The 27,995-nt window shown below is 36.7% G+C and overlaps 2 protein-coding genes across 8 annotated transcripts, besides 4 other annotated features; both read left to right on the top strand.

The window, feature by feature from the left end:
* Positions 55 to 20,028, top strand: ZFAND1 (zinc finger AN1-type containing 1). Of its 7 annotated transcripts, none has more exons than NR_033193.1 (8): positions 55 to 132; positions 3,135 to 3,177; positions 6,245 to 6,372; positions 6,464 to 6,555; positions 7,320 to 7,441; positions 12,530 to 12,571; positions 18,235 to 18,390; positions 18,494 to 20,028. NR_033193.1 is itself a non-coding variant. In NM_001170796.1 (8 exons), the coding sequence occupies exons 1-8, from the start codon at positions 78 to 80 to the stop codon at positions 18,662 to 18,664; spliced, it is 786 nt and encodes a 261-aa protein (NP_001164267.1). In that variant the 5' UTR covers positions 55 to 77; the 3' UTR covers positions 18,665 to 20,028. The 7 variants fall into 7 exon arrangements, 3 of the variants coding, with proteins under 3 accessions (NP_001164267.1, NP_078975.2, NP_001164268.1); NM_001170796.1 differs by lacking the exon at positions 12,530 to 12,571 and adding an exon at positions 4,071 to 4,110 and having other exon boundaries at positions 18,256 to 18,390; NM_024699.3 differs by lacking the exon at positions 12,530 to 12,571 and adding an exon at positions 4,071 to 4,110 and having other exon boundaries at positions 59 to 132; positions 18,494 to 20,022.
* Positions 81 to 1,025: an enhancer, noted in NCBI's record as "NANOG-H3K27ac-H3K4me1 hESC enhancer chr8:82632569-82633513 (GRCh37/hg19 assembly coordinates)". NCBI's record gives its function as "activates a minimal SCP1, AML or CMV promoter by ChIP-STARR-seq in primed H9 embryonic stem cells {active_cell/tissue: H9 hESC(primed)}" and the evidence as "EXISTENCE:reporter gene assay evidence [ECO:0000049][PMID:30033119]".
* Positions 104 to 153: an enhancer, noted in NCBI's record as "active region_27584". NCBI's record gives its function as "activates an Ori minimal core promoter by ATAC-STARR-seq in GM12878 lymphoblastoid cells {active_cell/tissue: GM12878}" and the evidence as "EXISTENCE:reporter gene assay evidence [ECO:0000049][PMID:35858748]".
* Positions 324 to 393: a silencer, noted in NCBI's record as "silent region_19331". NCBI's record gives its function as "represses an Ori minimal core promoter by ATAC-STARR-seq in GM12878 lymphoblastoid cells {active_cell/tissue: GM12878}" and the evidence as "EXISTENCE:reporter gene assay evidence [ECO:0000049][PMID:35858748]".
* Positions 424 to 563: a silencer, noted in NCBI's record as "silent region_19330". NCBI's record gives its function as "represses an Ori minimal core promoter by ATAC-STARR-seq in GM12878 lymphoblastoid cells {active_cell/tissue: GM12878}" and the evidence as "EXISTENCE:reporter gene assay evidence [ECO:0000049][PMID:35858748]".
* Positions 20,029 to 26,300: 6,272 nt separating the features above from the next.
* SLC10A5 (solute carrier family 10 member 5) lies at positions 26,301 to 27,728 on the top strand. The gene has a single exon (NM_001010893.3). It carries the CDS (start codon positions 26,387 to 26,389, stop codon positions 27,701 to 27,703), a length of 1,317 nt encoding a protein of 438 aa, NP_001010893.1. The 5' UTR covers positions 26,301 to 26,386; the 3' UTR covers positions 27,704 to 27,728.
* The last annotated feature ends 267 nt before the right edge of the window (positions 27,729 to 27,995 follow it).

Genomic DNA, 27,995 nt, shown 5'->3' with positions numbered 1-27,995 from the left:
CACTCTCCCGTCAGGCGCCGCGCGCGCTCATTGCCCCGCCCCTCAGGCTTTGCCCCGCCCCTTACGGCGCCGGAGAGATGGCGGAGTTGGACATCGGGCAGCACTGCCAGGTGGAGCATTGCCGGCAGCGAGGTGATCCGGGAGCTTCCAGCCCCCATCCCCGGCCGCGGGAGACCAGGGCTCCGCTTTGGCTCCGCGGATGGTGGCGGCGGGTGAAGGGAGGCCACAAGGCTGGGCAGGGCCTGAGGAGCGGGGTGGGAGCGTTTCTTCTGGGGCTGCAGTGAGATCGGTTGGTGCGGGTTTTTTTTGGCCGTGAGCTTTTGAAATGACGTGTGGTCTCCTTGGAAGGAAGCCATGCAATTCCTGAGGCAGGGCCTGAGGAGCGGGGTGGGAGCGTTTCTTCTGGGGCTGCAGTGAGATCGGTTGGTGCGGGTTTTTTTTGGCCGTGAGCTTTTGAAATGACGTGTGGTCTCCTTGGAAGGAAGCCATGCAATTCCTGAAAACGTACCTTGCAGTGTTCATTTTGGTGTTCGAGTGTGCCGTGTCCGAGCAGTGCACGAAGCCCACTGCTGGATCGCGTGGCTCACACTTACTCTGCTGAGCGCGGGTATGGGGACGCGTAGGTTTGGTCTGGGACTGTTGTCTTTTGGCTTTGCCACTGCGACCTACGGCCAGCTACTTTCCCATACTTTTTTTTACTTATCTGTTACGTAGCTGTCAGGAGGAGTTGGGGGAGGTCAACTCGCCCAACTAGTGTTCACGTGGATGTGTGTCCGGAAGAAGGCCCTTCCTTAGCTTTTATCAAATTCTCAAAGGCATCCTGATCCTCAGATTATTCCACCAAATGGTCATCATGCTCTCCCAGCTCTGTCATTCCCTGATTCTCATTATTATTGTTTGAACAAACATTTACAGATTATTGATTTTGGTGCTTGGACCACATAAGGGTGTAAACTACAGTCTTTTACACGGAAGACCTTTCCAACTAGTAAGCTGCATTTTAGAGAGAATTAGTTAATAATATGGCAATGGGCTCTCCCCATTGCACTGAGAGACCTTGGGATATACCTAGTCCAAGGTGATGTGGCATTGGCTTCAGGATGCCATACACCTTGAAAAGGCAAGTTTTTGAAGCATTAGAACCACACAGACTGCTCAGTCGTTGTTACTAGGTTTCACACACTACATAAGGTAGCAAACAGGTTTAATCTCCCCTTGGAACTTCAGTCATTGGTATCAAGTGCCTGAATTACCGTGTCAAAGACTCTTGAGATTTAGCCCAGTTTCAGTGGAGTTCCATAATTGATTAGTGATTTCTACTGTGGGAATGCGTGATAGGACAGGTGACACAATCCCTTCTAGGTTCTTGTTACTTATAGCCATCTATCTATCTATCTTTCACCACTGGCTGTAATAACAAGCCAGTGTGACTTTTTTCATGTGGAAGCTTAGCCATTTGGGTTTTGACTGTGAATTATGTGTGTCTATGCCTGATCCTTCGCTAGTGAGTCCAATACACATTATATGCCATTCATGACATAGTTCATTTTCCTTTCCAGCTATATATGTCTTTAGTGTCAATAACTGAGATGAGGCCAGGCCTATCTGTTTGGGACTAGTGGAAAGCAGTTAAGATTTAGACTACGTCAAGTGTATATCCTAAATTTTATCTACCTTCTGGAGGGATTGAAGGATGGTATCAGGTGCTGGGAAGTTGTCTTGACTTAACTCTTTCCCCTGGGTCCTTCTGGTTTGCATCTAATACTTGATTATTAAAAGTCGCAAAATATTAAGCATCTCCACCCAGTCACTGCAGTATTGTCCTTTTTTGTTTGTTTGTTTGTTTTGTTTTGAGATGGAGTCTGGCTCTGTCACCCAGGATGGAGTGCAGTGGCGCGATCTCGGCCCTCTGCAACCTCTGCCTCCTGAATTCAAGCGATTCTCCTGCCTCAGCCTCTTGAGTAGCTGGAATTACAGGCATGAACCACCACGCCCAGCTAATTTGTGTGTGTGTGTGTGTGTGTGTGTGTGTGTGTGTGTGTGTGTGTTTTCAGTAGAGATGGGGTTTCGCCATGTTGGCCAGGCTGTTTTCAAACTCTTGACCTCAGGTGATCCGCCCCCCTCGGCCTCCCAAAGTGCTGGGATTACAGGCTTAAGCCACTGTGCCTGGCCCCTTGCAGTACTGTTCTGAGTTGAGTATACTCAAAAGAAGTTAATTGTTGTATTATTCTTATTAATTATAGTTACTGTATTACTATTCTGATCTTTCATATATATCTCATTTGGTTTCTGTAAGTACACTGTGAGGTCGGTGTGGCATACAGCATAGATACAGATATAGATACACATGCATACACACATATACATATATACACAGAAAGGATGTGCTTGTATCTTTATATCTGTCTCTGTATCTACCTGTCTATATCTTTCTATTTTTCTTACCCAATAAAAGAGCTTTGGTTTTGTATATGTTTATTTACATACATATATAGAAACACACACACATATACTTTATACTAACTGTACTATATATTACATCAAATTATATATATTTGAAATACCATAAATCTTATAGGTGTATATATAAATATAAATATATTTGAATATAGTCAAGCTTTGGCGATATATATATATATATGTTGTTCACACACATATATATTAGTACACAGATATAAATATATATATTTATTGGATATATATAAAAATATATATATCCAAAGTTTTACTGTTAAGTAACTTGCCTAGCACTGTTAGATTAGTAAGCAGTGGAATCAGAATTGAATCCCAGGTTTTTCACTCCAAATGCGGAATTTTTGCAGTATACAGTCATCAAAAACAACACCTAGTAAATCTGGGAAACAAAACAAAAAAGAAAAAGAAAACCACTAGAACTTATTTTTGTCTGACTTAGTAAAGTTACAAGTAACATCTATTAATACCTTATGTTAATCCAATTACTTTCTGTCAGTTATTGAAGTTGTGATTAATTTTGTTAGAGTGGTTACATAGTGCTTGCTACACTAGGATATTAGTCAAAATGGGAAGTTTTTCCATAGAGGTTGTCTTCTTGCTTAAGAAAACTAAATCAAAATCAGATACTGACCAGTATATACATTTTCTCTCAATTTTAGATTTTCTTCCATTTGTGTGTGATGATTGTTCAGGAATATTTTGGTAAGTTAAGTTTTTATGCAGGATTTGGGAGTAATTTTAGTGTTTATTAATATGAGGTTATTTCTGAAAAGTAGAATGATTTAAAATAATTGTTACTTTAGCCATTGATTATTGATATTCAGTATAGTTATAGACTCTGATTACTTCTCCATATATATGACTGATTTTTAAACTTCCAAAAGTGGGGTTATGTATGTGAATTTTATATAAAAGTTATATTTTTGTCTTTTAATTACAAGGAGAAAATAATATTCACAATATAAAGAATATGGTAAAGATCCAGTTATAATTATTGCTCTTTATTTTAATTAATAAAATGAAAAGAGCCCAACCTATAAATGCCTTAAAATAGGAATCACAGCATTTGACTACATTACATGCCAAGTAAAACCTGGGAATTAATGAAGAATTTTGGAAAATGGATTTTCCTTACAGTTAAACTTTAAAATGTCAAGCATTTAAATTATAAAATAGAGCACTGAAAGAATGAATTTTTTTCAGAATGTAATTCAGAATGATTTGTTGGAAGTAAATAAAAGTAATGTATATTTTTAAATTATTTGGAATTAGAGCACTTTTCACATTTTACTACTGATGATCTTTTAGAAATAAAAAGAGCTGAAAGATATGTTTATATTTTCATGCAACGTAAACGTAATTTAGGGTGGTGAATTGTTTTTACTCATATTGAAGTTGAACATTTGTGTTTTAAAACTTTTGAGACTATAGATGCTCCATCTTTATCTGACATTTCAGTTTTTTCTCATATTCAAAGTTATTAATGTAGTATGAGCATAATGTATCTTAAGTATACTGAACATTAAAATATCGCAAATTTCTGCAGTTATCTTTAAGTATGTTATTTAAATAAACACTTGCTATTATTATTTAAGCCTTGAACACAGAAGCAGGGAGTCTCATGGTTGTCCTGAGGTATGTTAGTATTTTTCCAATCTGATAAAATGTATTCGTATTTATGTACTTTCATTCAGAATTTGATTAGATTTAAAGGCAGTCAGTATCACAGATTAAAGTTTGGCATACTAAACTGATTAGGTAAAGAGGCTTTTGCTTCATTTATATTATTTTTCTTTGTTTGAAAGAAAAATTGTTTTACTTGGTATTTGTAAATTTTTATCCTCATAATTTTTATTCCTTAACATTTGTTTAGGTAGCCCACTTACAGTATAAGGCTATATATTTATTTATTTGTTTGTTTTGTTTTGTTTTGTTTGAGATGGAGTTTTGCTCTTGTTGCCCAGGCTGGAGTGCAGTGGTACGATCTCGGCTCACTGCAACCTCCGCCTCCGGGGTTCAAGTGATTCTCCTGGCTCAGCCTCCCGAATAGCTGGGATTATAGGCACGTGCCACCACGCCCGACTAATTTTTGTATTTTAGTAGAGATGGGGTTTTACCATGTTGGCCAGGCTGGTCTCAAACTCCTGACCTCAGGTGATCCACCCGCCTTGGCCTCCAAAGTGTTGGGGTTACAGGTGTTAGCCACCGCGCCCAGCCAAGGCTATATATTTATAAATATACACGTAAGTTAATGTCCTCCTTATATATTCCCTCCAGTTCACTGTGTCCTTCACTGTTGTGTTCATTTTCACTGATGCCTGCTGATAGGATCTGTGGTAGTAAATCATTCTGGCTCAGTCGACTTAAGACAACCAGGAAGAAACCTATAGTTTAATAAAATTCCTACCCTAATTTTGCACAAATCATAAGTTAAGAAAGGTCTGGCAAATAGAAGTCAAAATATTACCCTTATTACTGGTAAAGATAAGTTGAATGATGAAGTTCAGCATAGAGCAAATGGGTTTGCAAAGAATATCCAGAATTAGGCAGACTTGCCCAGCAGTCACAGCAGTACTGGACCAGGTTAGGCTTTCTCCCTGAAGGCAGTACAGTTCCAAGAGGAAGAGAGAAAGCTAAGCCCACCATGTTCAATGTGTTCTAACACTTTTCAGTGGACATTTATTCCTGCCCACCATTTACCAAGTGCTTTACCAAATATTTTCACATCTGTTCTCTCAGTTATAGAAAGTTATTAAAGTTACATGAGGTTCAGTTGAAATCTGATTCTTTCCAGTTTAAATGATCAGTCAAAATCTGACCCTTTGAAGTTTACGTGATCTATTTGAGGAAAATTTGAATTACCTAGCATGTTGATTTTATGCAGCATTAATTGGAGGAAATATTCAGTCATACAATAAAACTTACTGAAGTTTCTTGCAGTTTATAAATCTATCCTGTGTTTTCTTTTTTCTTAGGATATAATTTGATTCCTCTGAATGTGTCTCAGATAATTAGGTCTCGTTAATTAAATATTGAAACATCATTAGGCCATTGCAACAAGTTCAAAAAGATACTTAAATTAATTCCAACAAGGTGTAACTATTATTTATAAAAAGGAATTCCCTTTGGTTGTAGTTTTCAAGCAATTATTTCCCTACGTTTACTCGTCTTTAGAAACCTGGTTTGTTAATGCTCAGAATAGCCTGGCTGATTTAGAATTTTTTTTTTTTTTTAGTCTTATAAAATCTTTCTTCCTGTAGTGGAGTATTTGCTGGTAATAAAAATATGAAATAGGGCATAGAGAATAATATATGATTATGAAAACCGTCTTTAACCTTTTATCTCACAAATAAATAAATATTTTTTAAGTGTTTTATTCTCTGAGTTAAGTGTTTCATCTCCTAAAATTAGTGTGGAAATTAGGTTGACTTGCCATTTGAGGGTTGATGAGATAATTACCTGAGCATATCATAGGGGCACCTTTGTATGAGACTGTTACAAAGCAGGTTAAAATTATAGAGCGTAATTAAATAGTCATTTCAACTTGACTTAGAAGACAAATATACCACAGTAGGAAAATTATGAAAGTGTGGAACAGTCAGTATAGTAATCATTTGTCACATAAAACATTCTTTATAATCTTTGAGAGTAAGTAACTTGCTCTAATAAGTTTAAGCAAAAATAAAATGAATACTGCCTTCTAGAATAAGACACATTGATTTGTTTTAGGTCTGAAATGTAATACATTTCCTCCTTTTTGCATTTTCAGGTGACTGTAATCAATGAGAGACTGAAGACAGATCAACATACATCTTACCCATGCTCTTTCAAAGACTGTGCTGAGAGAGAACTTGTGGCAGTTATATGTCCTTATTGTGAGAAGAATTTTTGCCTGAGGTGATTGATCACTTAGGCTGTTCACACTTTGTATATCTGTTTAAGTGCTATACAAACACATGAACTAGTGTCACTCTTCTGTTGCTCATAGACACCGTCATCAGTCAGATCATGAGTGTGAAAAACTGGAAATCCCAAAGCCTCGAATGGCTGCCACTCAGAAACTTGTTAAAGACATTATTGGTAAGTATCTAGAAAGCGTGTTTTGTTGCTTTCCTAGTTCCAGAGCTCCTGCTTCTTATATCTACTTTCCAATTATGGGAGGCATCATTAATAACCCCAGTGGTATTCGTATTAACTTGTATTTTGATGATATTCTTGTGACAGTATTTCTTATGAGGTCTACCTGACCGATGGAAATTTGGAAATTATTTGGAGGTACTCCACTGTAAGTACTTATCTCTTTTGCTGAGCCACTTAGATTAGCTAGTTAACCATTGGGCTAGAAATGGTATTCATGAGATTGAAGTAGTCAGCTGCTTTCTCTACAGATTAAACTCTAAGCCTAGTCAGCTGTTCTGTGAATGCTGCTGATAATAAGAGATACCAGGAATGAATGTATCTGTGACTTAAATCAGTCTGCCTGCCAGTATGTTAGCTCAGAATTTTTATTCCATATTAAGGATAGTACCTTTATTACAATCTTGCATAACCAAATCTTAAGGTTGTCTGTAGAAGCATTAATGACTGCTTTAGGTTAAATAGGCTTAAGTTGAAAAGAAGCACATTATAGTGGATTTTTTGATGTGGAGATTGCCTAGATCAATCTCAATGATATTTTTCCATTGACAATGTAAATACAATACCTATACAATGAATGTGGTCTCTGTATATCTCTCTTGTGTGTAATTTATATATGTTTCTGAGCCATAATTAATAAGTGTATTATAATAAAATTCTATTTGTAATGTGAAAGTTTTATGTGATTACATGCTTACACTTCTTAGATTCCAAGACAGGAGAAACAGCAAGTAAACGATGGAAAGGTGCCAAAAATAGTGAAACAGCTGCAAAGGTTGCATTGATGAAATTAAAGATGCATGCTGATGGCGATAAGTCATTACCACAGGTTGGTCTTAGAGATTTTTTAAAACACAAAAATTTCAAATATAGTTGAAGTCCTCTTTGTATTCCTCCTTCCCATCAATTAACAACTAACCTAAACCTGGTATGTATCATTCTTAATGTTGCATGGTATATGTCTGCATAAATAATACAAAGTTTTTTGAGTTTTTTCACTTTATAGACATGATAGTGAACCATATGTATACTTCTTCGAGTTGTCTTTTTTTTTCCCACTTGGGATGTGCTGTTAATGTTTATCCATGCTGAGATTTAGTCAACAAAATTCGGATTTTTTTCAATTTTTTGCTATTATAAACTGTCTATGGTGACCATCCTTGTGTATATGTAGAAGAGTTTCTCTAGGACTGTTCCTTTAAAACTTCACAATATCAGTTATTTTATATAACAACCCAATATATATATATACATACATACCTTAACACAGTTGAGTGTTATATGTGTTATATTATGATATTTGTTATTCTGTTTTAAAGATTGTGGCTGGGCGTGGTGGCTCACACCTGTAATCCTAGCACTTTGGGAGGCCAAGATGGGTGGATCATGAGGTCAGGAGATCGAGACCATCCTGGCTAACACGGTGAAACCCCATCTCTACTAAAAATACAAAAAAATTAGCCAGGTGTGGTGGTGGGCGCCTGTAGTCCCAGCTACTCGGGACGCTGAGGCAGGAGAATGGCATGAACCTGGGAGGCAGAGCTTGCAGTGAGCTGAGATTGCACCACTGCACTCCAGCCTGGGCGACAGAGCGAGACTCCGTCTCAAAAAAAAACGAACAAAAACAAACAAACGAACAAACAAAAAAAGATTGTTAGAACCTATCAGGTTGATTTTCCAATCCCTAATGGATTGAGACTACTGTTTAAAAAATGCTACTTTAGGGAATATACCTAGAAATAGAAAACCTGGATTATGGGCTTTGCTGATCTTCAGCTTTACTAGATATGGTCAACTTCCTGTTGTCAGTGATTGTACTCATTTGTCTCTTTCTGTTAGTGCTTCCAACAATGTCTATTTTTGGCCATTTATTCCTTAATAAAAATTTTAGGATCACTTTGCCCTGTTCGGTGAAATTATGATTTTGGTAGGAATTATGCTGAATTTGAGATTAGAGAGAGTTGACATCTTTAGAATTTTGACTCTTCTCATCTATGTCTGTGGTATATCTTCCCAACTTTTCTTAAGGTTTCCTTTTATGTGTAATTATAGAAGTAACCTTCTATAATGCTTACCATAAATATTTACATACCTTTTCCTAGTTTTATTCTTAGGCTCTTTATAATTTTTGTTGTCATTATAAATAATACCTTTTTAAAAAAATTACATTTTCCTAGCTAATTATTGTTGGTTAATGTTATGTTGCCCTTCTATCCAGCAAATAAATTCCTAATAGTTCCCATATTTTGTAGATTTTCTGGGCTATTTTCTGTGTAGTCATATCTTCTCCAAATGCCAATTTTTGTGAGTTTTTTCTGCAGATTTTCTCTTCTCTTGTGTTCATTATCATTGTTTGTCTTAATGTTGAGATCTTCAGAACAATGTTGAATAATATGGGCAATAGAAGGAATCTTAATCATGTTTCTGACTTTAATGCAAATGTATCTAAAGTTTCATCAAGTATTAGATATACTGTGAATTTGTATAAGTAGCCTTTTTCTTGATACTATTATTTCTTTCTATTCCTAATTTGCTAGGAATTTACACTATGAATGGATATTAAACTTTACTGTAAATTTTTTTATTACATCTAGTAAGATGATCATTTTTTCCTCATCAATGTAATAAATTTTATCGATCAGTTTTTCTGTCGTTAGATCATCAAATATTCCAGGATAAATCACTGACTCTGGTATATAATTCTTTTAAAATGCACTGAGAAATTGATTTGCTAACATTATTTAGTGTGTGTTAGTGACATTAATAGCAAGATTATGCTTAAAAATTAGTTGAGTAGCTTTCTCTCTTCTATTCTTTGAGGTAGTTGTAGAGGGTGGGAATTTGTTCTCAAAGGTTGGTAACACTCAGTTGTAGTAACTCTTGGAGAATTTTGAATACTATTCCAATGTGTTACTTCTTGCTTTATCTGGATAATCTATTTCTTCTGAAGTCAATTTTGGTAAATATTTTTCCAAAAAACTGTTTGATGTAGATTTTTCAGTTTATTATTTTCAACTTGTTCAAGTTATTCTGTTATACTTCAGAATCTTTATGTGTCTTTAGTCATTCTGCTTCTTCCTTAATATTTTTCATTTGTACTTTTCCTTCTTTCTCCTTTAGACAGAACAGCTAGAAGTTTATCCTTATTTTTTCGTAGTGTTTTCAAAGAACCATGATTTGGATTTAAAGACCTCTGTGTTTTGTTTTCTGTTTCACTAATTTTTGCTTTTATATTATTTCCTTCTGCTTTGTTTAGATTTTTCTCTGACATCCTTTTTCCAGCCTTTCACATAGAATGGTAATTTATTGATTTTATTTTCGTTTTGTTTTGTTTTGAGACAGAGTCTTGCTCTGTCGCCCAGGCTGGAGTGCAGTCGTGCGATCTCAGCTCACTGCAACGTCCCCCTCCCTGGTTCAAGCGATTCTCCTGCCTCAGCCTCCTGAGTAGCTGGGATTACAGGCATGCACCACCACGCCCAGCTAATTTTTGTATTTTTAGTAGAGATGGGATTTCACCACGTTGGTCAGGCTGGTCTTGAACTCCTGACCTCGTGATCCACCCTCCTCTGCCTCCCAAAGTGCTGGGATTACAGGCGTGAGCCACCATGCCCGGCAGTTTGTTTATTTTTAATATACTTGTTTAGGTATAACAATATACTTATTTGGTGTCTTTATTTTGTTACCATTTCAAACACAGGCAAGTTACAAACATAGTACAAATAACTTTTCCATATTCTTTACCCAATTGTACCAATTATTTATATTTTGCTGTGTTTGCTTTATCATCTGCTGTCTCTTTCTGTCTATATGTACCATATGTATATGTGTGTACTTAATTTTTTGTCCACTTGATTTATCACTTTCTCAGGTTAAAATCTCCTACTATGGATGTGTTTTTGCTAATTTTTTTATATAACTCTAATAGTTTGTAGAGTTACGTATTATCAAGTACATAGAATTTCTTCATTGTTATATGTTCTTTATGAATTTTGCCTTTAACCCTATTTTGAATTATAATATTGTTTCACTAGCTTTCTTTTGGTGAATATTTAACAAGTATGTAATTTTTTCATCGCTTTATATTTCAACTTTTTTTGTTGTTTTGTTTTAGGGTGTCTCTTGTAAGCAGCATATAGCTGAACTTTGTTTTTTTTAAACCAGTTTGATAGTATCTCTCTTTTGTAGGTGAATTGAATCCTTTCTTGTTTATGGTGGTCATTGGTGTATTTGAACATATTTCTTCCATCATGTATTTTCTGCTCATCACCCTTTTTCTTTGACTCTTTCTCTTTCCTTTTGTATTGAATTTGTTCTGATGGCTTAGAAACAATTGATTACAGTTTTCTTATTTTATTGACTACCCCTGATATTTTCCTTTTTTGAAATTTTGTTTGATTTTTTTAAAATTGCAAAGGTAGTATAAGCTTTTAACAAGTATAACTATCAAAAGATGCATATGGAGAAAAAACATACACACTCCTGTGTCTCTCATCCATTTACATCCCCTAAAGCAGCAGTTCTTAACTGAAAGCAGTTTTGCTCCCTAAGGGGACATTCAGCAATGTCTGGAGACATTTTTAATTGTCACAGTTGGGAATGGGGTGCTACTGGTATTTAGTTGGTAGAGGCCAGAGATGCTGTTAAATTCCTACATTGTAGAGGACAAGGCCGACAACAGAGAATTTTTTCTTGGCCTAAAATGTAAATAGGGACAAAGTTGAGAAGACCTGCTCTCAAGTATTCAGTAATACTTACATTACTTTGCAATTCTTCTATTACTTAAAACATAACAGTAAAAACTTCTATAAGACTTACTTTGAGGCAATCTTCTAACATATTTCATCCTTGCAACAAGTTTATAAGGTATGCACTATTAACTGTTACCCAAAAAGAGTAACATTCTATTAACATAGCTAGTAAGTGGAGAACTACGAATTGAAACTAGGCAGTCTGGTTTCACAAACCATCTTCTTCACACACTTAACAATATATCATAAAGCATTCTATAAGTTTGTAGATAAAAGTTTTTCCCTTTATTATTAATGTTTGTGTGTGTGTAAGTATAGATATACTAGAGATATATGTGGGTGTCTTATGTGTTTATACATACATGTATAATATATACATGCATATTGTATTCATGTATATACGTATATGTGTAAGTGTATTTGTTATATGTGTGTGTATATCATTTTACATAAATGAAAATGTATTCTACTTGTATATGTGTGCAAAGGCATAAAGAATATTTTTCTGTCATTATTTTATAAAAATGGTATCAATCATTTAGTCAACACACTTAAAAAAAAATACTTTCTATATACCAAGCCCTGATAATACAGTAGTGAATAAAACAGAATCCCTTCTGCCCTTATGAACCTAGAGTTCCTGGAGTTTATATGCCACTGGGCTGAGATAGATATTAAATATATAATAATTCATGTAGTGATTAGGGCTATAAATAAAACTAAAGCAGGTTTGGGGTAGACTATATATCCTTCTCTCATTAATGCCTAGTAGAAATTCCCTCAAGTGAGTTGGTGTGGCCCTAAATCATTTTCTTTACAAACTGCATTCTCTTCTGTGGTGTGGGTGTACTGTGGCTTATTTTGTCATTTTTCAATTAATGAGCATTCACTTTGTTTCCAGTTTTGGCTACTGTGCTAAATAGGCTGTGTGGTACTTTTCTTTCTGTGAGATAAATTCCCAAGAGTGTGTTTGCTGTGTCAAATGGTACGCATATTTTAGATTTTAATAAAAATTGTCAAACAACTTTACAAAGAAATTACAATTCACATTTCGAATCAAATTTCATTGACGGATTGCCTATACTAAGTATAGTTTTGTGGCTCTAGTTTTTTAATCATCTTTAGTACTTGCAGCTCTTCTGAGATATATTTTTATCCTAATTTCACAGATGAGTAATCTGGAGTGAAGTATTTTTAAGAGCACTAACTTGGTAAGAGCCTGCCCTTCTAACCAGTTCCGTATACTGCCTCTTGTGGCCAAACATGAGAGTACCCTTTTTCTCCATGGTTTCCAGTAGCTATTAGCATTCTTTTTAATATTTTACAGTCTGGTGGCTATAAAAAGATATTTCATAATTGCTTTAATTTGTATTTTCCTGACTACTATTCAGTTTGGACAACTTTTAATATGTTTTTTAGGCATTTGGGTTTGCCCTTCTCTGAATTGTTAGTGAGTATGCTTTGATCATTTTTCTTTTGGGATATTTTTCTTTTTATTTTGTTTGGTCAACTTATAGGAGCTCCTAGACTATAAAAGATGTTAATCCTTTATCTAAAATCATTATTTGTAAATTGTTTTTCAAATCTATCAGTGTATTGATATTACTTATATTTCTAATTGACATAGCAATATTTTACATTTACATTTTCCAAGTTCTGTCTTTTCTTTCATTCCTGTTGTGGTTTTCCTTTGGGTTTTGTGGGTATGTTTGTTTTGTTTTGCATTAGCCTTTTTTTTTTTTTTTTTTTTGATGGAGCTTTGCTGTTGTTGCCCAGTCTGGAGCGCAATGGTGCGATCTCAGCTCACTGCAACATCTGCCTCCTGAGTTCAAGCAATTCTCCTGCCTCAGCCTCCTGAGTAGCTGGGATTACAGGCATGTGCCACCATGGCCCGGCTAATTTTTGTATTTTTAGTAAAGACAGGGTTTCACCATGTTGGTCAGGCTGGTCTCGAACTCCTGACTTCAGGTGATCCACCTGCCTCAGCCTCCCAAGGTGCTGGGATTATAGGCGTGAGCCACTGCGCCTGGCTTGTTTGGGATTAATGTTTAATCCACCTGTTTTTTTAATTAGCATATGATGTGAGCTGAGGGCTTAATTTTATTTTCTTCCAGTTGTTTAGGTAGTTTTGCCACCACTGATTATTTAATAAGTTATCTATGTTTTATTGGATTGAAATATCAAAATACCACCTTCATGAAAAGTTGAACATTTTATTTCTGTATATGGATTTATTTCTTAATTTTCTGTTACAGTCTACTCATTTATTTTTTACTCATAAGTTAATACCAAATTGATTTGGTGCAATAGCTTTATAGAATGTTCTATATCTGATCATGCAAGTCCCATCCATATTTTTCCATTTTTTTCTTAGTATTTTTATTAGCATTTGTTAATCCATCTGAATGTTATGATTATTATATTCAGATTTTAAAAAATACCACTCTTAGGATTTATAGGTTATCATAATGGGGCAAGGTTGTGAATAACAGACTTCAACATAGCCTGTTAAAGAAGTTGGACTCTTTAAAAGCAAAATGTGGAAGCTGAGAGTATGATTATAAAAAGCAACAGATAGCACAGCATAGTCTTAGACAGAAATGTGGCTTCCTACATCCCCTCATGTTTCCCACAAGGATGTGATGAGTGAATATTGCCTGGAGGAAGTGAGGATTTGACCATTTATTTGAAGGCCCCTTTGCCATTCTCCTGGAGATTTTATACCATCTTGGCCTCCTTTTTTATGTCCTGAGGATTCCAGCTCCTTTCCTGCTCCTAAGCTTCCAGTAATGCATGCAAAACATCCTTAATGAATACCTGAGTGGGTTCTATGAAGTTAGGTGAAGTACAGTTTGAAATCCCAGCAGTATCTACTAGCAAGTCTAGGCTTTTGGCCTGACTCAGAACCATTCCTGAAGGATTCACACTGGATTTGCTTTATATGCCATACATTAATTTTGGAAGAAATGACATTTTTATGACATTGTCTTTCTGTAAGGACCTTATATGTCTTTATTTATTCAGATGTTTTATTCCCTTCTGTAACATTTCATATTTTTCTTCTTTTATATTGTATTCCTTATTTTCATTGCTACTTATTTTACGGTTTTTGTTTAGGTTGAGAACAGAATATTTTCCCCACTTCTATTGCCAAGTACTTATTTCTAATAAAGAGAAAAAAAATCTTCAGCTCTGTATACTCATATTATTCAGCTACATCACCAAAATCTTTTATTAATTTTAGAAGTTTTTTCTACTAGTGTTTTTTAATTTTCTAGTTAAAAATTATTCCTCATTAACAAATAAGAATAGCTTTAATTTTTTAAATAATTATACTCATTATTTCATTTTTCATACTACATTATCTATAATCTCCAATATAATATCCTAAAATGATAATGGTGATAACAACTATGTGCTTACATTCTTAACATATATAATTAAATATCAATGTTTTTCTCAAAGCCTGAAGTTAGTTGGTATTATATCCTCCTGAATACGAGCTTGAAAGGCTTTATCCAGTTGACTCTCTCCTATCCCATCATCTTTTTTTAACATAAAAATTAATTCTAAGTTAATAGCTATTAAAATTTACCAACACTTCTTTTTTTTTTTTTTTTTTTTTTTTGTTTCTCCTTCCTTAGGGCTTACTTGTATTTTTACTAAAGTACATTCTTTAGCAGTTCATTTAATAAAGGTCTCTGGTAATAAACTCTATGAGTCTTTTTTGAACATGTCCTTATTTTGCCCTTACTTTTAGCTGGATTGCCTATTAAACTTTCTCAACACTTTTAATATACTTTGTCATCTATTATTGGAGGAACATCTGTGTCAGTCTTACTCTATGAGTAATCTATCTTTTTTGGTAGCTTTTAAGATTTCTTGTGATATTTTCCAATTTCTGTGGAATGTTTCTACGTGTGGATTTATTTTAATTATTCCGTTTGACACATTGTAAATTTTGACTTTTTGGAAAATTTTACTCATTTTCTCTCTAAATAGTGCTACTTCACCATTTCTTCTTTTCTGAATCTCTTGTCGACATATTTTGGGGATCTATAATTGTTTTTGTTTTTGTTTTGAGACAGAGTCTCACTCTGTCACCCAGGCTGGAGTGCAGTGGCACAGTCTCGGCTCACTACAGCCTCTACTTCCCCGGTTCAAACAATTCTCGTGCCTAGCCTCCTGAGTAGCTGGGACTACAGGCGCGTGCCCCCACACCTGGCTAATTTTTGTATTTTTAAGAGACGGGGTTTTGCCATGTTGGCGAGGCTGGCCTCGAACTCCTGACCTCAAGTGATCTGCCCACCTCAGCCTCCCCAAGTGCTGGGATTACAGGTGTGAGCCACCATGCCCAGCCTATAATTGTTTCTATCTTATGTCTCTTTATGCGGTATTGTGGATGACTTCCTTATATCCATCTTATAATAAATTAGGCCTTTTTATTGAGGATTATAGAAACTTATCTATAATAAATTTTGAATGTTTTACTCCAGAAACTATTTTTTAATTTTCATTTTTTGACTTGGATCTTCATGTCTTTTATGTTTTATTTGTGCCTATTTTGGTTTTATAACTTCTTGTTTCCTTTTTTATCTAATTGTGCATCCTAACTACCTTTTTTAAATGTCTTTTTAAAGTTCAGCTGTCTTCATTTGCCCATAATGAGTTAATCTTCAGTTTGTTTTGAAATTTCAGTTAATGCATTTAAAATGTTCATCTTGAATAGGAGGTTCTTCCTATATTTCTCCTTCCTCTCACTCACAGATCCCTGTCTGGCAATTTTATACTTAAGTCAGCATTCAGCAGTAACTTTAGCTGCCCTTCCTAGAGCAGAGGTCCCACACACTCCTCTGCTTCCGAGCAGGGAGCCTGACCCAGGAGCTTTATACTTATCTCCCTGTGGTGCTGTTATTTCCCACTTACCTATAAGCTGACCTCCTCCTCTTCTGGAGCCCTGAAAGCCTGTGGCTTAGCCAGCCTATCACTTTGCATTTCTGTTTCATTTTTGATCCTCATACATATTTATCTTTTTTAAAAAAAAAAGATAAGGCTATATCTTATCAATTTTCTCTTTCTATATTTATCTTCTTGCTGCTTTCTTTTTGGAGCAGGTAATATTTGATTATAGAGGTGGCTCACAGTTTGAATTTCCAGTGATTTCTTGTTTTTTCTTTTAATACTCGTTACCTGTAATAACACACCCCACTGGTCTTCAACAAATCTAAATTCCTTAGTGCTGAGTTGGGAATTGTGTTGGATTTATTATTTCTCAGAATAATTGTGATCTTTCCCCCACAAGTTAGAGATGCTCCTGTTATGCCAAAATTTTTGTTTTAGCAAGAATTGACCTGTAAAGCCAGCACTTTTAAAAAGCAGTTTTTCGGAATCAGTGAAGAGCAAAGGCCAAGCCTTTTGCTCCTACTCATTCTTTCCTGCTTTTTTTTTTTTTTTTTTTTTGAAATAGGGTCTTACTGTGTTGCCCTGGCTGGAGTACAGTAGTATGTTCACCACTTATTGCAGCCTCGACCTTCTTGGGCTCAAGTGATCCTCCCACCTCAGCCTCCAAAGTAGCTGGGACTACCAGCACACACCACTATACCCAGCTAATTTTTTGTGCTTTTTGTAGAGATGGAGTTTTACCATGTTGCCCAGGCTGGTCTTGAACTCCTGGGCTGAAACAATTTGCCTGCCTTAACCTCCCGAAGTGCTAGGATTATAGGCATGAGCCATCATGCTCAGCCATCCATTTGTTAATTAGGCAAGAAAATACAATATAAGGAGAGGGCAGATAAGATATAGAATACTAGAGAAATCCTTTCCAAGTCCTTTCTTTTGTTGATAAGGTACTTGGGGTTTGGAGGTCTTTTTCTATCTCTTTTTTTTTTTTTGTTTTTAATGTTTCCTTGTTCCGAAAAGTCCTTCTGTCTAAATACATAGTGAGGTCTTTCACATAAAAAGAAATGTTGTATGTGTCAGAAATCTTTGAATTGCAAGTGACGGAAACTTGATTCCAACTAGGAAAATCAAAACAAACTTTTTTCCTCATATAATGGGGAATAATGAATTGATCTGGTCTTAGGGGATGAATTCAGGAACTCAGATTATGTTGAAAGAGCTCATCTGTTTTCTTGTTATTTCTCTTTCTACATTGACCTCATTTTTTCCCATTCGAGGAAACTTTTTCCACATTGGTTCAGGAATGGCTGTTAGGTGACGGGGTTTGCTGTAGGCAACTCCAGGTTTAATTTGATAAAACTTAAAAAAATAAGGAGAGGCCGAGTGTGGTGGCTCACTCCTGTAATCCCAGCACTCTGAGAGGCCGAGGCGGGTGGATCACCTGAGGTCAGGAGTTCAAGACCAGCCTGAACAACATGGTGAAAGCCCGTCTCTAGTAAAAGTACAAAAATTAGCTGGGCCTGGTGGCACGTGCCTGTAATCCCAGCTACTCAGAGGCTGAGGCATGAGAATCACTTGAACCCTGGAGGCGGAGGTTGCAGTGAGCCAAGAACGTGCCATTGCACTCTAGCGTTGGCAACAAGAGCGAAACTCCCTCTCAAAAATAAATAAATAAATAAATAAGGAGAGTGCTCTTTGTCTCCTAAGCTGTTGAACATAAAATCCCAGGAACAGATCTGATTGGCCTAACTTAGGCCACATATCTGTCTTTGCACAGATCACCCTGGCCAGGGTCTTGGTCCTATGCCCATGCATTTATGTGTGTTTTTGGCTACTGTGATTGGTATTCCAAGTAGCAGATACCTTGTTAGAAGGTAATTCTGCTCTGACCAGAAGAGAGGAACGGTTGGCACCAGACAAAAACTGATGTCTATTTTGTCTATGTAATGGTTGTTTTAACTTTTTCTTTTTACAGACAGAAAGAATTTACTTTCAGGTTTTCTTACCTAAAGGGAGCAAAGAGAAGAGCAAACCAATGTTCTTTTGCCACCGATGGAGCATTGGAAAGGCCATAGACTTTGCCGCTTCTCTAGCCAGGCTTAAAAATGACAATAACAAATTTACAGCTAAGGTAACATCTCATTATAATAATATTTCTATATTAATAAAGGTTTTATGATGCTCCATTCAAGCATGTTTATTTATTACAGTATGACTTACTTCTCCCTTCACAGAAATTAAGGCTGTGTCACATTACTTCAGGAGAAGCCTTACCCTTGGATCATACTTTGGAAACCTGGATTGCTAAGGAGGATTGTCCTTTATATAATGGTGGAAATATAATCTTGGAATATCTTAATGATGAAGAACAATTCTGTAAAAATGTTGAATCTTACTTGGAATAGTCATTCAAAGATTCAAGTCAGAAATCACAGGGAAAATTCTATTACATGTTTAAGTCCATTTATTTTACTACAAATACTATTTTTGTAATTTTTAAAAGTTGCTTTTTAACTTATTTCCCCTTATGTCACATTTTAAATTATGAGTTTTCTATTAGAGTTTTTTGGTTTTAAGTTTAATTGTGTACGGATCCTCAATTATTAGCAAATTCTTATATTTAATTAGCTTTCATTAGTTTATGCTGTAGTGACAACAACAAAGATGTATTTCCTGGTGGGGGATGTCAGCTGTTGATTGGCTGTGACACTGCTTTGTGTCATCTTCTTACCATGATCAAAGGCAAAGGAAGGGATCTCTTTTGGGACATTGTGATTGTTTTAGCAGAGAGAGAAAGAGATGAAATACACTTCGGTTTTCTCTTAAAAGATGCATGTATCATACGTGCTTTAAGCAAGTCATGTGGCCAAGCCTAGCATCATGGAGCCAGAAAGTATAGCCTTGCTGTCTGTCTACATCATGATGTATAAATTGATATATCTACATGAATTATAGAAACTTAGAAGTGATCTTTATTCAGTCTTATAATTTTTACATGAAGAATCTTAGGCCTAGGAGGAGAAAATGATTTTCTTTCTATTACCTAACTAGATTGGGGCATATTTCTGATAAAGACCCACCTCTAGTGAGATTCATCTTTTTTGTTTGTGTGACTATATTCCATAGAGAAGAAAGATGGGATAGCTCAACTTCATTATATACCAAAGCAAAACACATGCCAAATGATGACTACATTTTACCAACATATTTAGACGAGTATTCTTGACTAGTGTTTACTATCTATACCCCCAAAACTACTACTATATAGACAGAATGGAAAGTATTTCTATTTGTCCTTTTTTTGTTTTCTGTTCTAATTGTCAGGGACATATGTAGTGGCTATAGGTTTACTTAAAAGGAATAAATTTGGAATGCTCATTTGGTTTATTTCCTTTCTAATTCTTCATATTATTTTTATGTGAGGAATGGAGATAATTTCCAACTTTTATTATGTTCTTGTACTTTCATTCATTAGCATAGTTATTTGAGTTCCCACTAAATGTAGGGATTTGTCCTAATTGCCATGATTAATACAATGATGATATGTATACATACAGGTATACCTTGGAAATATTGTGGGTTCAGTTTCAGACTACCACACAAAGCAAATATTGGAGTATATTGAGCCAGACAAATTTTTTTTTGTTTCCCAGGGCATATAAAAATTATGTTTACACTATACTATAGTCTATTTAATGTGCAATAGCATTATGTCTAAAAAATGTATATACTTTAAGTAAAAAAATACTTTATTGCTAAAAAATGCTAATAATATCTGAGCCTTCAACAATTTGTAATGTTTTTGCTGATGGAGGGTCTTGCCTAATTTCAATAGCTACTGACTGATTGGGGCGGTAGTTACAGAAGGTTGGGGTGGCTGTGACAACTTCTTAAAATAAGACCACAGTGAAGTTTGCCACATTGATTGACTCTTCTTTTCATGAAAGATTTCTGTGTAGCATGCAATGCTTTTGATAGCATTTTTTCCTGAGTAGAACCTCTTTCAAAATTGAAGTCAATCCTCTTAAACCCTGCCACAGCTTTATCAACTAAGATAATGGAATATCTAAATTTTTTGTTACCATTTCAACAATGTTCTTAGCATCTTCACTAGGAGGAGATTCTCTCTTATTTTATTTATTTATTTATTTATTTTTTCTGAGGTGGAGTTTCACTCTTGTTGCCCAGGTTGGAGTACAGTGGTGTGATCTTGGCTCACTGCAACCTCCGCTTCCCAGGTTCAAGTGATTCTCCTGCCTCAGCCTCCTGAGTAGCTGGGATTACAGGCATGCGCCACCACACCTGGCTAATTTTGAATTTTTAGTGGAGACGGAGTTTCTGCATGTTGGTCAGGCTGGTCTGAAACTCCCGACCTCAGGTGATCTGCCTACCTCAGCCTCACAAAGTGCTGGGATTACAGGCGTGAACCACCATGTCCGGCCGAGATTCCCTCTTAAGAAACCACTCTTTGCTCATCCATAAGAAGCAACACCTCATCCATTCAGCTTTTGTTAAGAGATTGCAGCAATTCAATCACATCATCAAACTCTACTTCTACTTCTTGTTTTCTTGCCAATTCCACCACATCTACAATTATAAGATCACTAATTGCAGATCACAAAAACAGATGTAATAATAATGAAAAAGTTTGAAATATTGAGAGACTCACCAGACTGTGACACAGATACACAAAGTAAATGCATGCTATTAGAAAAATGGCTCTGGTAGGTCGGGCGTGGTGGCTCACACCTGTAATCCCAGCACTTTGGGAGGCCGAGGCGGGTGGATCACTTGAGGTCAGGAGTTCGAGACCAGCCTGGCCAACATAGTGAAACCCTGTCTCTACTAAAAATACAAAAATTAGCTTGGTGTGGTCGTGGGCGCCTGTAATCCCAGCTACTGGGGAGGATGAGGCAGGAGAATCACTTGAGCCTGGGAGGTAGAGGTTGCAGTGAGCCGAGATCATGCCACTGCACTCCAGCCTGGTGACAAAGCAAAAAAGACTGCATTTGATTTAATCTGATGCAACACAAAATGGAGTGCCATAACATGTGCTATGTTTGCACTTACATACAAAGTAGTGTAGCGGATGCTAATTTAGTAGATAATCAGTATGCCTATGTTCCAATAACTCTTTTATCAGAAAGTATAACACTTAAATATATGCCCAGATACCAATAAATTTTAGTGACAACTAATACTGTAATGCTTAGCACAATTACTTGCACATACGAGAAGATCAGCACATGGTCATGCAGTTGACTAAAACTATGCCAGAAAAATAATGAGGTTGAGAAGTGGGGAAGTAAGGCTGACAGGAATTGAGTTAAACCTAAGGAGAATGAAGAAGTCCTATCAATGATTAGATAGAAAAGAGACAAGGCAGTCTGGATGGAAGGACTTATATTATTAATATTAGCAGGCTTACTGGTGGTAAGTTAGGTGTGGTCCCAGATAGTGGAGCAAACTAGTCTGGTGGAGACAGGAGCTAGCATCCTTAGTACTGGGGACTGGTGGCTGCAGCAGGAACTGTCTCCTAAAGAGAACAAGATGTGGGAGAAAGGGAAAAGACTCAGTTTCTAGCCTCTATTTCTAAATTACTCAGAAAGCAGACAACTTTCTCAGGCTTTCGATTAGGGTTTTCAGTTGAGGATGCTTAGAAAAATTTTAAAGATTCACTCTCCCCACTCCACTCTAGCATCTTTCCACCTGCTTGCAGACAAATTTCAAGTAGCAAATCCACAAAGAGAATAAAAGTGTTTTAAATTTACATAAGTAATGGAAATAACAATATAATAAAAATGAGTTCTAGTTTAAAAAATCAGGCAGCAAATGCTAGGGAACTTCAAAAAGTTCATGGAAAAACTGAAAGATAAAAATAGGCCAGGGCTGGGCACAGTGGCTCAAGGCTGTAATCCCAGCACTTTGGGAGACTGAGGTGGGTGGATCACTTGAGGTCAGGAGTTCAAGACCAGCCTGGCCAACATGGTGAAACCCATCTCTACTAAAAATACAAAAAACTAGCCAGGCATGGTGGTGCATGCCTGTAATCCCAGCTACCTGGGAGGCTGAGACAGGAGAATCACATGAACCCAGGAGGGGGAGGTTGCAGTGAACCAAGATTATACCATTGCACCCCAGCCTGGGTGACAGAGCAAGACTTCGTCTCAAAAAAAAAAAAAAAAAGGACAGGTGTGGTGGCTCACACCTGTAATCCTGATACTTTGGGAGGCCGAGGCAGCAGGATCACTGGAGCCCAGGAGGTCGAGGCTGCAGTGAGCCATGATCTTGCCACTATACTCCAGCCTGGGCAATAAAGCGAGACCCTGTCTCAAAAAAGAAAACAGATAAAAATATAAAACATAAACTTTATTTTTCAACATAAGCTCCATCAAGTTTAAGACACTTTCGTAAGCAATGACGCCAGCCACTTAGTCCATTGCAAAATAACTGATGGTCCTGGATATTTAATCATGTTAATGCAGTCTGTTTCTTAACTAAAGAAAAATGGGTGCCCTTTAAAGTTTTTTTTTTTTTTTAAAGATTAGGAAACAGGAAGTCAGAAGAAGCAAAATTAGACCTCCTAAGGTAGATGCCTAATGATTTACCATCAAAATTCAAAATTTTCCTTGTTTTATGAGAGGAATGAGCAGGAGCATTGTCTTAGTGGAGAAGCAATCTCTGGTGAAGCTTACCTGGGCATTTTTCTGCTAAAACTTTGGCTGTCTCTAAACATTCTCATATTTTTTTTTTCTTTTTGTAGAGATAGGTCTTGCTATGTTGCCCAGACTGGTCTTGAACTCCTGGCCTCAATGGATCCTCCTGCCTTGGCCACCAAAAGTGCTGAGACTACAGGCATAAGCCACTGTACCCAGCCTCATAACACCTTTATAATAAGCAGACGTTATTGTTCTTTGGCTCTCCAGAAAGTCAACAAGAAAAATGCTTTGAGCATCCCAAAAAATAGTTGCCATGACCTTGCTTTTGACTAGTCCACTTTTATTTTGACTGGACCACTTCCACCTCTTGGTAGCTATTGCTCTGTTTGTGCTTTGTTTTCGGGATTATTCTGGTAAAGCCATGTTTCATCTCCTGTTACAATTCTTGGAAGAAATCCTTCAGGATCTTGATCCCACTTGTTTAAAATTTTTATTGAAAGACAACTGAAATTTTAAGTAGAAAACCCACCAGGAGAACAAAAGTACTCTTGTCTGTAGCTGATCTGGGTGCAATAGTTTCGGTACCCATCAAGTGGAAAGTTTGCTCAAGTTTAATTTTTCTGTCAGCATTGTGTAAGCTGAACCAACTGAGACATCTATGATGTTGGATATTGTATTAGTCCATTCTCACACTGCTATAAAGAACTACATGAGGTCGGGCGTGGTGGCTCACACCTGTAATCCCAGCACTTTGGGAGGCCAAGACAGGTGGATCACCTGAGATCAGGAGTTCGAGACAAACCTGGCCAACATGGTGAAACCCCATATCTACTAAAAATACAAAAATTTGCTGGGCATGATGACAAACACCTGTAATCCCTGCTACTCACAAGGCTGAGGCAGGAGAATCACTTGAACCTGGGAGGCGGAGCTTGCAGTGAACCGAGAGAGCACCACTGCATTCCAGTCTGGGTGACAAGAGTGAAACTCTGTCCTCCCAAAAAAGAATTACCTGAGAGTGCGTACTGTATAAAGAAAAGAAGCTTGACTCAGTTCCACAGGCTCTACAGGAAGCATGGCTGGGAGGCTCAGGAAACTTAAAATCATGGGAGAAGGGGAAGAAAGCACATCTTCACATGGCCAGCAGGAGACAGCAAGTGAAGAGGGAGGTGCTACACACTTTCAAACAACCAGATCTTGTGAGAACTCTATCATGGGACAGCACTAGGGCGATGGTGCTAAACCATCAGAAGCCATGCACATGATCCAATCATCTCCCTCCATGTCCCTCCTCCAACACTTCCTGTCATTACACTTCTGCATGAGATTTGGGTGGGGACACACAGCCAAACCATATTAGATATTGTCTGTGCTTTTTTTCTTCACAAATTGCTGTGAATGGTCTGCTGCTACGGGCTTCATCTTCAACATTGTCTCATCTCTTAAAATGAGTTATCCATTTGTAAACTGCAGATCTCCTTGGGGTATTGTCTCCATAACCTTTATGTGAAGCATCAATGATTTCACCATTCTTCCACCCAAACCTCACCATAAATTTGATGTGTGTTCTTCCTTCAATTTTAGCAGAATTTATGTTTCTCTGATAAAAGAGCTCTTTTCTAAATGTCTTATCATAGTTAGTGTCCCTCACTAGATCCTGTTCAGACATGTTACAAAAAGTTTATTCTGGTGCAAAAAAAAAATTGAAATTCATACACACTTTTTTATAATACATATTTTCCATGAAAATTTAGAAGAACACTTATATAGATGAATGATAGATTATCAAAGTTTTCCTAGATTTGTCAGGCTTTGTTCTTCACGGTTTTCAAATGAAAGGGCCTGGAGAAACCGAAGAACTAAAAGGGTTGCAGAAAGAGTCCTAAGGGGAAAGAAAAACTGATATACTCACATCTTCGACCTAGGCAACAAAAGTTATGAGTCAAGATATTTGGTCACATAACTAAAGATAACTTAGGTTTTATGACATTTTTGTTTTTTGTTTTGTTTTTGTCAGTTAAAATAGGGAAATTTTAACTGAAATATCAATGAACAGTCCCATTCCCTATCCTCACCATTGGTACAGCGGATCTTGTTTTTCTTAATGTGGTACATATTAATAAAATTTATGAGACCTAAGGTCTACTGCATTTGAAAGATTAACCGACATAAATGGTATACTTTTATAAAACTCGTTAAAATGACAAAAAGGTTTCACATTTTTGAGGAACAAATGATCTAAAATACTTAATACAAATTGGCATTACCTTGAACACATTGCATCATGATTACATGAAAGAGCTGCTGAAATGGTCATGTGTTCAGAGACTACTACATCTGTAGGCTTAATAGTAAACGTTTGGTTGGTTGGTTGGTCGGCTGGTTGGTTTGCTGCTTAGCATCAGGACACCCACCCCTTGTGTGGGAAATATACAAGTGTGTGAGTCTATGGGTTGAAATCCAAAAAGCCTGATGCTTTTTCTCATTCCTGGCAACCAAGGGATATGACCAAATTGGGTCAATTGAATGCCCTTGCCCCTAACTGTGAACAGAGAGTAGTGTTACAAACAAGGAATAAAAGATTAGAATCAATGCCAGTGTCTTTCCATTGCCCCATCGTGTCAGGGTCCAAGTGTCCAGTAGCTGTGGTCCCTTAACCAGCCTGTACCTTTGGCCGTGGCACCAGCTACCTACTTTCCCTATGTCCCCAAGTTATCTGGTAACCATTCAGGAATTTTTTTTCCTACTTAGGTATACAAAAAACAGTGTCAGTTTTTGCTTGACAGATTAAATCATCCTTCAGAGATGCAGGAAAACTATTAGCAGCCAAGGGATGCTGCCAAGGCCAGTGTCTGGGCTCTGCAGTTTTCTAACTTGTGATATTGGGTCACCCCACTAAGCTCCAGGAGAGCAGCGACTGCATCTGGCTTAATCATTATGGGATGGCCAGCTCCCAATTCCATGCCCTAGGCAAAGAGACATTCAGTGAATATTGATTTGACTTCGACTTGATTGAACAAAATGGTAACACTGAACTCTAGGTTTCCTCAGTGTCTGTTACAGATTTCTTGATCCTGACTGCTTTTAATTTTTTTTTTTTTAGCAAGAAATAACTAACGAATGATGACACTAAGCTTTAAATTCAAGTAAATAGGAGGCTTTTTTTTTTCGCATAAGCAGAAATGAGGAAATCAAGAGGAAGAGATTAGATTTCTGTTGTGATAAATCGAATCTGTTAAATGCCATGACTTTTTAATTGTCTTAATCACAAGTTAAACCGGTTGTGTTGCTGCTTAGATGGCTATATATTTGTTTAAAAGTACAGCAGTCCCTCCTACTGGACTTTGATCCTACAAAAACAACTGTTATCTAACTCACCCTCAGACTGTCACTGGAACACCTGCATGAAGAATGTTCTTTCATTTTTTAAAAACGATTTTGCATATATGATTTATTTCAGCTTTCAAAATGATTAGAAAACTTTTTATTGTTCTACTTTTGTTGCTTGTGACTATAGAAGAAGCAAGGATGTCATCGCTCAGTTTTCTGAATATAGAGAAGACTGAAATACTATTTTTCACAAAGACTGAAGAAACCATCCTTGTAAGTTCAAGCTACGAAAATAAACGGCCTAATTCCAGCCACCTCTTTGTGAAAATAGAAGATCCTAAAATACTACAAATGGTGAATGTGGCCAAGAAGATCTCATCAGATGCTACAAACTTTACCATAAATCTGGTGACTGATGAAGAAGGAGAAACAAATGTGACTATTCAACTCTGGGATTCTGAAGGTAGGCAAGAAAGACTCATTGAAGAAATCAAGAATGTGAAAGTCAAAGTGCTCAAACAAAAAGACAGTCTACTCCAGGCACCAATGCATATTGATAGAAATATCCTAATGCTTATTTTACCACTAATACTATTGAATAAGTGTGCATTTGGTTGTAAGATTGAATTACAGCTGTTTCAAACAGTATGGAAGAGACCTTTGCCAGTAATTCTTGGGGCAGTTACACAGTTTTTTCTGATGCCATTTTGCGGGTTTCTTTTGTCTCAGATTGTGGCATTGCCTGAGGCGCAAGCTTTTGGAGTTGTAATGACCTGCACGTGCCCAGGAGGGGGTGGGGGCTATCTCTTTGCTCTGCTTCTAGATGGAGATTTCACATTGGCCATTTTGATGACTTGCACATCAACATTATTGGCTCTGATCATGATGCCTGTCAATTCTTATATATACAGTAGGATATTAGGGTTGTCAGGTACATTCCATATTCCTGTTTCTAAAATTGTGTCAACACTCCTTTTCATACTTGTGCCAGTATCAATTGGAATAGTCATCAAGCATAGAATACCTGAAAAAGCAAGCTTCTTAGAGAGAATAATTAGACCTCTGAGTTTTATTTTAATGTTCGTAGGAATTTATTTGACTTTCACAGTGGGATTAGTGTTCTTAAAAACAGATAATCTAGAGGTGATTCTGTTGGGTCTCTTAGTTCCTGCTTTGGGTTTGCTGTTTGGGTACTCCTTTGCTAAAGTTTGTACGCTGCCTCTTCCTGTTTGTAAAACTGTTGCTATTGAAAGTGGGATGTTAAATAGTTTCTTAGCTCTTGCCGTTATTCAGCTGTCTTTTCCACAGTCCAAGGCCAATTTAGCTTCTGTGGCTCCTTTTACAGTAGCCATGTGTTCTGGATGTGAAATGTTACTGATCATTCTAGTTTACAAGGCTAAGAAAAGATGTATCTTTTTCTTACAAGATAAAAGGAAAAGAAATTTCCTAATCTAACAATTAAAGCATTACTGAATTCCTACTCTGGGTAGGGCACTGTGGGAGAGTAAAAGAATAACTATAATGATACCTGCTCTTAAGCCACTTATAATGTAATTAAAAATCTGACATTGGGGGGTAGAGAATACATATATATATATACACACACACACACACACACACACACACATTCGTATATGCTAAGTACTCAATGAGTGGTGGAGATGATAATACAGAAGTTCAGAGGAAGGAGACAACTTTGCAACTGTGTTGGTTTGAGAATGTTTTATAGGCTATGATGTCAATATGA

This window comes from Homo sapiens, chromosome 8, assembly GCF_000001405.40.
Source record: "Homo sapiens chromosome 8, GRCh38.p14 Primary Assembly".
Classification (NCBI taxonomy): domain Eukaryota; kingdom Metazoa; phylum Chordata; class Mammalia; order Primates; family Hominidae; genus Homo; species Homo sapiens.
This window is presented reverse-complemented; position numbering and strand designations above follow the sequence as displayed.